Source organism: Homo sapiens, chromosome 17 (assembly GCF_000001405.40).
Source record: "Homo sapiens chromosome 17, GRCh38.p14 Primary Assembly".
NCBI lineage: Eukaryota > Metazoa > Chordata > Mammalia > Primates > Hominidae > Homo > Homo sapiens.
In genome coordinates this window covers 62383068-62396207 of record NC_000017.11, presented here as the reverse complement: position 1 = coordinate 62396207, position 13140 = coordinate 62383068, and the positions used below count along the sequence as shown (strand labels likewise).

Sequence of the window (13140 nt, the reverse complement as noted above, 5' to 3'; positions counted from 1 at the left end):
CTAACATTTATTGAGCTCTTATAGTGTGCTAAGCACTTCACATGTATTGTCACATATCAGCCCCACAATTGTCCTATAAGGTAGGTATTATTATCATCATTCCCTTTTTATAGATGAGGAAACTGAGATTGAGAAGTTAAACAATGTGTTGAATTTGTGTACCAACAGCAGGCTTTACTAAGTGTCTTTGAGTTGGAATGAAAAGTAGAATTTTGTGCATCCTCTATTCTACATCTGACAGAGAGACAGGAGAGTATAAAGAGACTACTTATTGAGGGGCAGAAGAATATTTTTACATTGTTGGTGGAATTCTACACACTTAAGTCTCTCTAGGTGGGAGACTGGAATGCTTTGAAGGAGTATGAATTGAAAAGACTGATAATAGCAACATTTGTTTAAGATAATGATAAAAATAGATTGAGGTGATTTACTCTCAGCGCTACTTGCTGGAATAAATAATGCAGTTGGTGTGTGTTATTTATTTAAAGGATGAGAATTAAAGGTTTAAAGGATGAGAATGTTTCTTCATCCTTTATTCTCAAGTCTAATTCTGGCTCTGCTCTAGTCCAAAGGCTACTTTCGGAGGTCTGAATTTGCTGTACCTCATCTCTGAGTCAGAGATTTTTGAGAGCCCCTGGTAGTTTCAGCATGAACAAGAGTGTCTTATATTCCAAACTGGATTTCTAAGCCCACCCAAAATTATTCCTGGAAAAGTCTTGTTCTGCTGGAATTCTTTGGTCTGAGATAGAGGAGGCTAAAATTTCATGGTTGTCTTAGGTCCTCAGTGGGGCCCTTAGGTGGTCTGAGGTCAGCCTTGCAGTTTTAGAGCTGGGAAGGACTGTGGAGATGAGGGAATAAGGTCTCATGTTGTAGCACAAGGGCATTTGCCCAGATACCTTCTTCTCCTTAGTTTTGGACCAGACCCTGTGGAGTTGGATGTTAGTGGGAGCTGACTGCCATGTTAATATCTTCATAATGCTTCTGAGAAGGCTGTTTTTGCTCCTTTCCTTCTCACTTACCTTACTATTTCTATTATAGACTTTCTGGGTAGGGCTGAAGTCTCTAGAAGCCTTGATAGGATTTCAAACAATAGGATTCCTGGGTTGCCAGCCAAATCTAAACAGGTCTCCTTTTCTGGAACTATGGAGGGAAAACAAAAGATAGATTTTTAAATACCTTCTGAAATAAGAAATTGACCACCTCTTTACTGATTATTTACAATAATAATATCAAGTCAGGAACTAGAGGTACAGTAAAACATTAAAAGTCTGTTCTATTTGGTAGAAAGGCCATTTTGGGTACTGAGCAGACAGAATAAAATGGAATGTTAAAAAATACTTGTAGTTCAATAACTTCTAAGAAAACATAGTAATATTTTTAACACAAACATGAATTTTGTGTTAATGATTATTATCTGGTTCTAGGCAAAGATTCTAGGCAAACTCCCATTACTATAGTACTACTTGTAAGAAATAACTTTTCTTTATCCTAAGAACAGTTCATAGATTATGAATGAATATATTTTCAAAACTGTATACAGTATTTGGAATTTGGAATGTTTATCCTAGAAAACATGAATAATGGTTAGCTTTTCCAAGGCAGCCTGTTAAACTTATAAACAAACCATGAGGGGATTAATGACAATATTTCAAGTACAACTACACATCATTTATAACCTTGGGGGAGAAATAATAGAAAAATTATTTTCTATTAGTTAGTGGAAGCACGTGACACCTTAATGCTCTCTAACCTCCAGCAGACTCTCCAGCCCTAGCACTGAGGGTAGAGTCTTCATCAGTGTGGGGAAGGTATTTTTTCAAGAACAGTAAATTATCGACACCCTAGATTTACATGAGAGAGTACATTTTTCTTTTTCTGAAACATAAATTTTTTTTAAATAAAAGGAATGCCTCCCAAAGTACTGCATACACTTGGTAAAGAATTCAGACATTATAGGCTGGGCGTGGTGGCTCACGCCTGTAATCCCAGCACTTTGGGAGGCCAAGGCGGGTGGATCACGAGCTCAGGAGATCGGGACCATCCTGGCTAATACTGTGAAATCCCATCTCTACTAAAAATACAAAAAATTAGCCGGGCATGGTGGCGGGCGCCTGTAGTCCCAGCTACCGGGAGGCTGAGGCAGGAGAATGGCATGAACCTGGGGGGCGGAGCTTGCAGTGAGCTAAGATCGTGCCACTGCACTCCAGCCTGGGTGACAGAGCAAGACTCCGTCTCAAAAAAAAAAAAAAGACAAAATAATTCAGACATTATAGAAGGCAGCCAAATTTTTCTACACCAGTCACTCTTTCAGTGTTCTCGTTGGAGACCAAAGGGCAGTGTCTCTTGCAGTAGGTGTTTGGACAGTGCAAGTGCCTGCTTGATGTAGTTAACACTGTATCAATTTGTTTAGCAAATACTGTTCTGGAGAAGAGGTACAAAAGTAACTCACATCCCAGACTACACCTTCCTGACCTGTCTCCCGACTGGAAGCCTGTGAATGATGTTTGCTGTGCAGTGAGTTGTAGCTGCCCAACTGCCTTCTGTTCATAACATCTCTACTCACCCACTGCCTTGAGGAAGAGATTCTTATCTGTTAGAACCTTGATAAAGTCTGAGAAGTTCACCTTCCCATCTCCTGCAACAAAAATCTGAGACTCAGGACAAGGATAAGATGTATTTTAATTATCAGAGTATATATTAAATATAAAAATTAAAACACTCTGGATGATTCAATATTAAAAACAGAGCATTTGAGGGCTGGAAATATGCTCAGGTGAGCCCTGGTCTTCTTGAAGTGGTCTTAGCACCATTACATCAGTCCTCCACAGCCCACAGAAGCAACGGTGGTTGTAAACATCCAGCCAGGAGCACCCAGCCATTGCAGTCTGTCCACCTGCTCCTTTCTCAGAGACTGGCCATGTTTGCAAGGAATCTGTCCTGTCTTCCCATGCTATAACCACCCCTATTATTCCTATTATAACATCCCCAAGCTGTATTCCATTTCCTCTAAAATTGAAGGATGATGAGTATTATTAGAGGGGTATGTGTATGTTTCCATGAAATAATAGAAAATTTTGACACAGTTAGTAGAAGCAAGTGACACCTTAAGTGACACTGAATGACAGGTGGAACTGATGTTGATTGAGTAGGGCACTAGCAGTTGGGTGGAGAGAGGTGAGAGGAGATAATATGCTGAATATATTTTTCACACAGCATATCAGTTTGGGCTACTAATAATTCGGTCAGTATATTCACTAAAAACATTATCTATGGCTGGGCATGGTGGCTCATGCCTGTAATCCCAGCACTTTAGGAGGCCGAGGCGGGCGGATCACGAAGTCAGGAGATCGAGACCATCCTGGCTAACACGGTGAAACCCTGTATCTACTAAAAATACAAAAAATTAGCCGGGCATGGTGGCGGGCGCCTGTAGTCCCAGCTACTCAAGAGGCTGAGGCAGGAGAATGGTGTGAACCCAGGAGGCGGAGGTTGCAGTGAGCTGAGATTGCGCCACTGCACTCCAGCCTGGGCAACAGAGCAAGACTCCGTCTCAAACAAAAAAAAAAACATTATCTGTATGCTTTAAAAATACCAACAAAAGTGCTGTGGCATTTAAAATTCAATATAGGTGGGACTTGATGGAAAAAGAAAGATTTGTTCTGTTTTGATTCAAACAGAAACAAAAGGCTTGAATTCTCTTGGTAACATGTCATTATTAACATTGTTACTGCTTTTGTACATCAGGACAGGTAACCTGAATTTGATACTGAAATCAGACAATCACTCTTAGCTTCCACACAGTGTTTTTCAAATAGTCCATTTTCTAGGATTAATTTGATTTCACAACTTGTACACATACCTCACTGATCTCCTTAAAGGGACATACATACATACACACGCAGACACACACATATATGTGTGTGTCCCTTTAAGGCTATATATATATGTGTGTGTGTGTGGTGTATACATAGATATATGGATATATACATATATGTATATTTGTATATAGTATTCAAATATATAGTCTACAAACATATAATATACAAATATATATATTTGTACTATATATTTGTGTATATATATATTTAACATATACAAATATATATATACACACAAATATATATATATTTGGGGGGGCAAGTAAATAAGATTTGTTTCTCATGTTTATACAGTCATTAAAAGAAAACTATATATTCACAAAAATCTTTTATGAGAAAAACAATGAGAAGCCAAAGGACTCACGATCAATATCAGCACATTTCAATTCATTATAGACATCATGCTTGGTCAGATTCATTCCCAGCTTAGCTACAGTGCACATCAGTCCATGGAAATCAATACAGCCAGTTTTGTCCTTGTAGAAGAAGTTGTAGGCATCTTGGAAAGCTGGGGAGATAGGATTAAGTTATTCAGGACAGTTGTTCAAGAAGAAGTACATACACTAATAGGACTAGGACAGACAATATAGTTGACTGGAGATCATGTTCTAAAAAAAGGATTGCGAAAAAAATGAGTGCTTAATAGACATTTCTTATAAAGGACAGTATCCTTCCACGGAACTTGAACTGGAATGAACTAACTGTTGCAAAACCAAGTGTTGGTAGGTAAGATGGCTTTCCAAAGATATCCACACTGTAATCCCTTAACCAGTGAATATGCTATCTTACATGGCAAAAGGGACTTTGCACATATAATTAAGATAGATTATTCTGGGCTCAATCTAATTACGTGATCCCTTATATAGCTAGAAGCTGGAGAGACGTGGCAGAAATCAGAGAGGTTTAGAGCATGAGAAAGACCTGACCCACCATTGTTGATTTATCAGCCAGGAGCTTCTCTGCTTGCTAAAGAGGCTGAGAAGCTCCTGGCTGATAAACAGCAAAGAAACTGGAATGTCAGCCCTGCAAGAAAAAAGAACAGAATTCTGCCAAAAATCTGAATGAGACTGGGAGCAGATTCTCCTCCAGGAGATCCTCGTGGATCACGAGGTCAGGAGATTGAGACCATCCTGGCTAAGGACAGGCTGGCCAACACCTTAATTTCAGTCCTATAAGACACAGAGAAGAGAAACCAGCTGTACCCACCTGGACTTCTGACTTATAGAACTGTGAGATAATAAATTTGTGTTGTTTTAAGCTGTTATGTTTGTGGCAATTTGTTACAGCAGCAATAGAAAACTAATTTGTCAAATTGGACCCAAATCACATATGTGTGTATGTATGTTTTGTATAATCCAAAGTTTTTCAAAGAAATAGTCAAGGCACTAACTGGAGCCAAAATTAGGTATGTATTTTCTGAAATTAGAGAATGACGAAATAAACCTGGAACAAAATATATCCCAAATGACACCCGAATAAAACTTACTTCATATCACATTCAAGTCTCAGCGTCTCTATGTATAACAGTGATTAATCTCCTACAGAGATAACGATACCTGCTCTGTAAGTGTGTAATGTAAAAGGTAACATCTTTCTCCTTGATAAAAGGTAGGCTTCTCTAGGGCTGGAACCAAACTATCTCTGACTTGTTTCTGTTTTTCCCACTATCTCTTGCATGTTAGTAGGCAGTCAACAAATATTGATTGCATGCTTTCCATGGACCAGGTATTGCTCCAAGTGCTTTGGATATATTAGTGCACTAAATAGACAAAGATCTGTGCCTTCATATAAATGTAATAAATAGGTAAACTAGATGCCATTTTAGAAGGTGGTATGTACCATGGAAAAAAGAAAAAGTAATTCTGGGTGGATGATTAGAAAGAAGAGAAATAGAATTCCTACACACTCCCACCTCCATGTCTACTTCCTGACCAGCACCTGTACCTGCATGATCTTCCTTTCTCTCTGCGCTGCAAATAAACTGTATGCTCTTACCCAGAGCCAATCCCTCCCTTGTGGATTGGAACTCATCCCCTCTCTCATATTCAAAGAATTTACTGAAGAAAGGGTCTCCTCTTAGGTAAGGGAAATATCATTTTTTCATTTTCTATTATATCAATCCTATTGTTGTATAAACTTTTGCTGTTTCTCCCTTAAAAAGTACACTGTGACCCCATTTCCCCCTCCGGCTATTGCTACCTCTGCCATTTGTCTCTTCTTCCTATTGAAAATTTAATCATTTATGGCCGGGCACGGTGGCTCATGCCTGTAATCCCAGCACTTTGGGAGGCCAAGGTGGGTGGATCACGAGGTCAGGAGATCGAGACCATCCTGGCTAACATGGTGAAACCCTGTCTCTACTAAAAATACAAAAAATTAGCTGAGCGTGGTGGCGGGTGCCTGTAGTCCCAGCTACTCAAGAGGCTGAGGCAGGAGAATGGCGTGAACCTGGGAGGCGGAGCTTGCAGTGAGCCGAGATGGCACCACTGCACAGAAAAAAATAAATAAATAAATAAAAATTAAATAATTAGTCATTTATTTCTATCAGTGTGGATTCATGGATGTTTATTTTATACTTTGGGTTATAATCAATTCTATATTATTAATTTTTATTGCTCAAATAGAAAAAGTTGGTGGAAGGCAGAGTATATGGATACAGATGCTGGTAAGGAGGTAGACATGGAGGTGAGGGTCTACGGAAATTCTAATCTGATTGCTTCAGTTTTCTTTGGGAAAGTAAGCAGACCAATTGACAGTAAGGATGGGAGATGCTGGGGATCTTGAAGTATTCAATAAATATTTGTAGAATGAACAAATTAACCTCTCATAGGAAAGTTGTGAGGATTAAGCACTGTAACGAACACATTTTCTAGTTTCCATATTTGATGTTTTGATATCTGGGGCCTTGCTGGCCCTGGAGGGACTGCCCCTCTCAGGGCTGGTCAATTCCTAGAATAGTGACTACTAGATTGTGAGTGTGTCTTTCCTCTGCAAACCATCCAATTCCATAGACCATATTCCAGAGACCATATCCTCAACCACCTGCCTTCTCCACCTCTTACAGTCAGAGACACTACTTCCCTGCCCTAGTCATCCCAGGGCTAGGTACCAGACAACTAGGGACAGCCCTTACATGCCAGAGCCCACTGAAATTGTTTAAACTAGCTAACCCCATACCTGCTTACCCTGCCTTGTCCATTCCTTCTTGCAGAAACCACAATAGAGTTTCTTGTCCACATGCTGCCCCTGCCCACTTCCTGACTGACCCTGGTGCTTCCTCTTGTGGCCCCACATGCTTGGCATGCTGTGCCCTGTTTCTAGGGATCTGTGAGTATGAAAAACTTCCTTTGTGGCCATCATTTCTGCGTCTGCCTGTCTCACCATATCTGACTAAAATAGACCCCTTAAAATGAGTACCAAAGTATCTTAAGGCACTTTAGAAACCTTAAAGGTCTATAAAACCATAAGCTGTTATTATTAAGGCATTTAGCTCAGTTTTACAATGAAAAATGCCAATCTGATCATGACAATCCTTTGTGTTTTCCAAACCGAAATTCCCAGCAATAAAGGTTGATTGATTATAGAATGAACAAATTAACCTCTCATAGGAAAGTTGGGGATTAAGCACTGTAAAGAACACATTTTCTAGTTTCCATATTTGATGTTTTGCTATCTGGGGCCTTGGTGGCCCTGGAGGGACTGCCCCTGTCAGGGCTGGTCAAGGTGGATTGATTCTTTGATTCATTTCTGTCTCCTGGGTCAATTTCTAAATTGGTTCTAAATTTAGTGGGGTAAAGCATCAGCCTCTTCAGAAACCAGATGCAACCCAAACACAGCCACACTTGACTTCTTTGAATTTTTCTAGTGCATCATGCTTTCCCTTTTTTCTGGCCTTTGTAGATTCTGCTCTTTCTGCCTAGAAACTCCTGTCAGCGCTATTTGCCTGATTTACTCCTGTTCGTCATTCAGCCTTCTCTGGGACTCCCTTTCTTCCCTCACAAGACCAAATTAGGAGGCTTTCCTTTAAGCTCCTATAACACTCCATGCTTTTCCTATCATAACTTGTGTTATATTGTAATTTAAATGATTTATTCAGCAAGTTCATGGCTTTTTTTTTTCGAGACGTAGTCTCGCTTTGTCGCCCAGGCTGGTGTGCAGTGGCGCGATCTCGGCTTACTGCAACCTCCGCTTCCTGGGTTCAAGCAATTCTCCCTGCCTCAGCCTCCCAAATAGCTGGGATTACAGGTGCCCGCCACCACGCTCAGCTAATTTTTGTATTTTTAGTAGAGACAAGGTTTCACCATATTGGCCAAGCTGGTCTCGGACTCCTGACCTCAGGTGATCGGCCCGGCCTGCCTCAGCCTCCCAAAGTGCTGAGATTACAGGCGTGAGCCACCGTGCCTGGCAAGTTCATGGTTTAACAGCCTGTCTTCCCTATTAGACTTCCTATCAGGGCAGGGACCACATCTGACTTGTTTTGTTGTTTCCCACGCCTAGTACATTTTTGGCATTAAATAAATATTTGTTGTTTGGATGAATAAACTTTAGCCAGTGTAGCTCATTTTATATTGTTTTCTTTGAGAAATCCTAGGACTGTAGCTGTGTTTGTGTTCTTTATTACTTGATTTATATTTGTTCTTTTGTTATTTTTGTTCTTTTTGCGTTTGTTCTTTTCCATACCCACAAGTTCTTCTTTGAATACAGTTATTTGACCAGCACTGCCTAAATTCTAGGGAGATGTCCATTTAAAAGCAATTTCCCTCCTGTCCCACAAAAATGTAAGGTTTTTTTTCCTTTCTCTCAAATGATGGTGGTGTAGACAACCCTTGAAATCTCAGATCTTTCTTAGAGAAGAAAGGATCAGACATATTAAGGAGCTGTTATGCTTCAATTTTGAGGATGATTCTCATTACCTGCCATTTGTGAAGCACTTAGCTTCTTTTCTTTGTGTTGTAATTGGCATTGAAGAGATCCTGGTAAGTCTCTATCCCTGAGGAAAGATGTGAAAATATTTAGATTTACTACCTATGTGAAACCAGCAGATATTAGTCTTACTCATCAGTTTCTGCTTACTGGAATGACTGTAGCATCTCAATGTATCCAGTCTACTATCCTAAGGGATCTTCTATTTAGGATAGCCCATAGCTACAGGATGAACAGTGAGAAAATGTTGGCCACTGAGATCCTCCTCTGCCCTAAACTTGCCCATCACCCTTCCCTTAAAAAATTATAATTTCAGGCCAGCCATGGTGGCTCATACCTGTACTCCTACCCCTTTGGGAGGTCAAGGCAAGAGGATCGCTTGAGCCCAGGAGTTCAAGACCAGCTTGGGCAACGTAGCAAGACCCTGTCTCTACAAAAACATAAAAAAAAATTAGCCAGGTGTGGTGGCACAGGCCTGTAGTCCTAGCCACTCAGGAGGCTGAGGTGGGAGGATTGCTTGTGCCTGGGAGGTCAAGGCTGCACTGAGTCATGATTGCACCACTATGCTTCAGCCTGGGTGACAGAGTGAGACCCTATCTCAAAAAAAAACAAACCCCAAAAAACCAGTTACGATTTCCCCCATTTTACAAAATAAGAAACAGAAGCTCAGAGCAATTAAATAATTTGTCTCAGGTTATACAGATAGTAAATGGAAGACCTGAGATTCAAACCCAGATTTGTCTGACTCCAAAAGTCAAGGCCATAATGCTTTACACTATTCCTGTTGTTAGAAAGAGAAGTTGTTTCAATTTTCTTTTTTGCTGGCTCCAATTCTCAGCCTTGAGTTTCAAATTTTAAAACTGTATAAACGTTGTTGTGGTGAATACCCTTACAGAGAAACCTCTGTATCTATGACTATTTTACAACTTTTTTTTTTTTACAACTTTTACAACTATTTTACAATCGTCAAACTGTATTTTTACCAGCATATGTATGGGTGTATAAGAGAGTGAAATAAAGATAGAGAACACCTCTGAAAATTTGAAACCCTGGGTGACCTTTCATTTATTGAGGAAAGTAAAATCTGGAAAAGGCAGGAACATATTAATACTTTCAAGATACTTTGTACAGATCTGAAGTAATTTATTAGTTTAAGAACACAAAAATGTATCATGTAAAACTGAGTTTGCTTATAATATGATAAATAAAATTTAATTACATTTAAGTAAATGTGATTTAACTCCAAAATTTAATTATAACCAATTTTATAAATTTATTTAAAATGCATTTAGTTTTGATACTTGTAAAACTAAAAGTTTAAAAAATATGAAATCTCATAGTTTTGTGGCTTTATAAGAAGCAGTTTAAAAAGTAAAACTAGGCCGGGTGCGGTGGCTCATGCCTGTAATCCCTGCACTTAGGGAGGCCAAGGCGGGTGGATCACGAGGTCAGGAGATCGAGACCATCCTGGCTAACATGGTGAAACCCCGCCTCTACTAAAAATTAAAAAAAAAAAAAAATTAGCCGGGCATGGTGGCGGGCGCCTGTAGTCCCAGCTACTTCGGAGGCTGAGGCAGAAGAATGACATGAACCCAGGAGGTGGAGCTTGCAGTGAGCAGAGATCACGTCACTGCACTCCAGTCTGGGTGACAGAGCAAGACTCTGTCTCAAAAAAAAAAAAAAAAAAAAAGTAAAACTAGAAGAAATACTAAACATTGTAGTTAAACAAAAAATTATTATGGTTTATTAATTTAGTATCCCCTAAAGTACTTATTAGATTCAACTCATTTTCAAAGAGGGGCCTGGGAGAAAAGGAGGTGATAGTCTCAAAACTGTTCTTAACTTTTGAAAGTGGAATTTTATCTAACTTGTCTTATTTTCTCAGTTTTTACTAACATTGCTTTCTTCTTCTGGTGCTTCCTCTTTATTATCTACTTGAATTTCTTCTCTTTCTCTCATTCTTTCAAGACAGAGTCTCCCTCTGCAGTCCAGGCTGGAGTGCAGTGATGTGATCGTGGCTCACTGCAGCCTTGACCGCCCAGGCTCAAGGATCCTTCCACCTCAGTTTCCTGAGTAATTGGAACTATAGGTGCATGCCACCATACCCAGCTAATTTTTTATTTTTTGTAGAGACAAGATCTCCTTATGTTGCTCAGGCTGGTCTTGAACACCTGGGCTCAAGTGTTCCTCCCACCTCTACCTCCCAAAGTGTTGGGATTACAAGTGTGTGCCACTGTGCCCAACCTGTAATTTCTGAAGCTCAGGTTTGTCCTTATTCAGATAGGTTATTTTATATTTATTGTACAGATGTTCCTTGATTCATGATGGGGTTACCTCCTTATAAACCCATCATAAGTTGAAAATATTGTAAATTGAAAATGCATTTAATTTGCCTAACCTACATAGCTTAGCCGAGCCTACCTTAAATGTGCTCAGAACAGTTACATTAGCCTACAGGTGGGCAAACTCATGTAGCACAAAGCCTATTTTGTAATAAAGTGTTGAATGCCTCATGTAATTTATTGACTCCTGTACTGAAAGTGAAAAACAGAACAGTTGTATGAGTATTTGAAGTAGAGTTTCTACCAGATGCATATGGCTTTTGTACCACTGTAAAGTCAAAAAATGGTAAGTTGAACCATTGTTAAGTTGGGGACCATCTGTATTTCTAAATATAAACAAATTTCTTTTGCATGATGTAGAAGATGCAGTACATGGAGAAATACTATGTTCTCAAGAAGCAGGAGGAAAGTAGAATTCAAGGCAGTGTAAAGATCTTTTATTTTTCTTTCAAGACAGGGTCTTGCTCTGTTGCCCAGGCTGAAGCACAGTGGTGCGATCTCAGCTCACCCTAACCTCTGCCTCCTAGGCTCGAGCAATCCTCCCACCTCAGCCCCTTGAGTAGCTGGGACTACAAGTGTGCACCACCACACCCAGTTAATTTTTGTATCTTTTTTGGTAGAGGCTGGTCTCAAATTCCTAGGCTCAAGTGATCCACCCGCCTCAGCCTCTCAAAGTGCTGGGATTACAGATGTGAGCCACCGTGCTAGGCCAGGCAATGTAAAGTTCTTATTATCTGTCTTTAAAAAGACACTCTTGGCACAATTTCAGACCTTATCTTGGATCAAACATTGGAGAAAGACTTTATTTTTCAAAGTTTCAAATGACTGAAGAACCTTACATTTGGAATGAACCCAATCCAGCCTTCCATCTAATGTAGGAATTCCCTTTACATGTAGTATTGTCTAGTCTTTGCTTAACTACTTTCAGTGACAAGGAACTCACTCCCTCAAAAGACAGCTTGCATAGTCAAGGACACTAGAAAAGATACACTCAAAATAGAAAGTAAATGGATAATTGTGAAAGAGAAAAAAATGTTCTTCTTATGATCTGATAAAATATAAATCAGGCTCTCATTTTTGCTCATTAGTGGCTGTTAATTGAAATTTGTTGTTAGGTGACTGAGAAAAAGCCATTGTTAATGTCACAGGTAAATCTCCCTTCCCAATTTTAGCCCAGGGTCAGTCATGGCTAATTTACCAGCTTTCGTTTACCAGCTATATTTGAAATATAGACCCTTTTTCTACACTTTGACTTGGTTATGGGTTTAGGTCTTCTTTATGATCTTCTAAATTTTTTCTTCTTTAAACTGGCACTCAAAATATCTCAAGGTATAACTGATAACTTCTTGAGCCCCCTAGGGTATTTTGTATCCTAACATAAAAACAGCTTCTCCTTTGGGAGGACAGGAGGGAGAATTCTGCTCTTCCTATCAAAAAAGATGTATATCTTTTTCTTTTCATAAAAAATATTTCTCTTCAATTCCGATGTTTTGTTTTATAACTAAAGTTATCATATAATAAATATTTGAAGAGTATTTTAATTGTTTCATCATAATCTTTATGAGCATTTAATATATTAGTAATTTTTTTTTGAGATGGAGTCTTGCTCTGTCACCAGGCTGGAGTGCAGTGGCACAATGTCAACTCACTGCAACCTCTGTCCCCCAAGTTCAAGCAATTCTCCTGCCTCAGCCTCTCGAGTAGCTGGCACCACAGGCGCACACCACCATGCCTGGCTAATTTTTGTATTTTTAGTAGAGACGGAGTTTCACCATGTTGGCCAGGATGGTCTCGATCTCTTGACCTCATGATCCGCCCACCTCGGCCTCCCAAAGTGCTGAGATTACAGGTGTGAGCCACTGCATCTGGCCAATAATCTCAATAATTTTCTTTTTTTTAGGGGCTTCCCAGTAAAGATCGGAAAACCTGCTAGACAAAATTCTAAAAGAGCTGTAACACTAATAATTCTTTATCATAATACATTTATCACCCTTAAT

General features: G+C 39.6%; 1 protein-coding gene and 1 pseudogene across 4 annotated transcripts in view; both read right to left on the bottom strand.

Moving 5' to 3' along the window:
* Positions 1 to 13140, bottom strand: part of EFCAB3 (EF-hand calcium binding domain 3) — a 46263-nt gene that overhangs the window by 20273 nt on the left and 12850 nt on the right. For all 4 annotated transcript variants that reach the window (NM_001144933.2, XM_011524380.2, NM_173503.4 and 1 more), the window contains 4 exons: positions 8792 to 8868; positions 4243 to 4386; positions 2564 to 2635; positions 1020 to 1140 (listed from right to left, as the gene is read on the bottom strand). In NM_001144933.2, coding sequence (NP_001138405.1) covers positions 1020 to 1140; positions 2564 to 2635; positions 4243 to 4386; positions 8792 to 8868 — 414 coding nt within the window. The remainder of the gene's footprint in view (positions 1 to 1019; positions 1141 to 2563; positions 2636 to 4242; positions 4387 to 8791; positions 8869 to 13140) is intronic.
* Positions 13043 to 13104, bottom strand: RNU7-52P (RNA, U7 small nuclear 52 pseudogene; annotated as a pseudogene).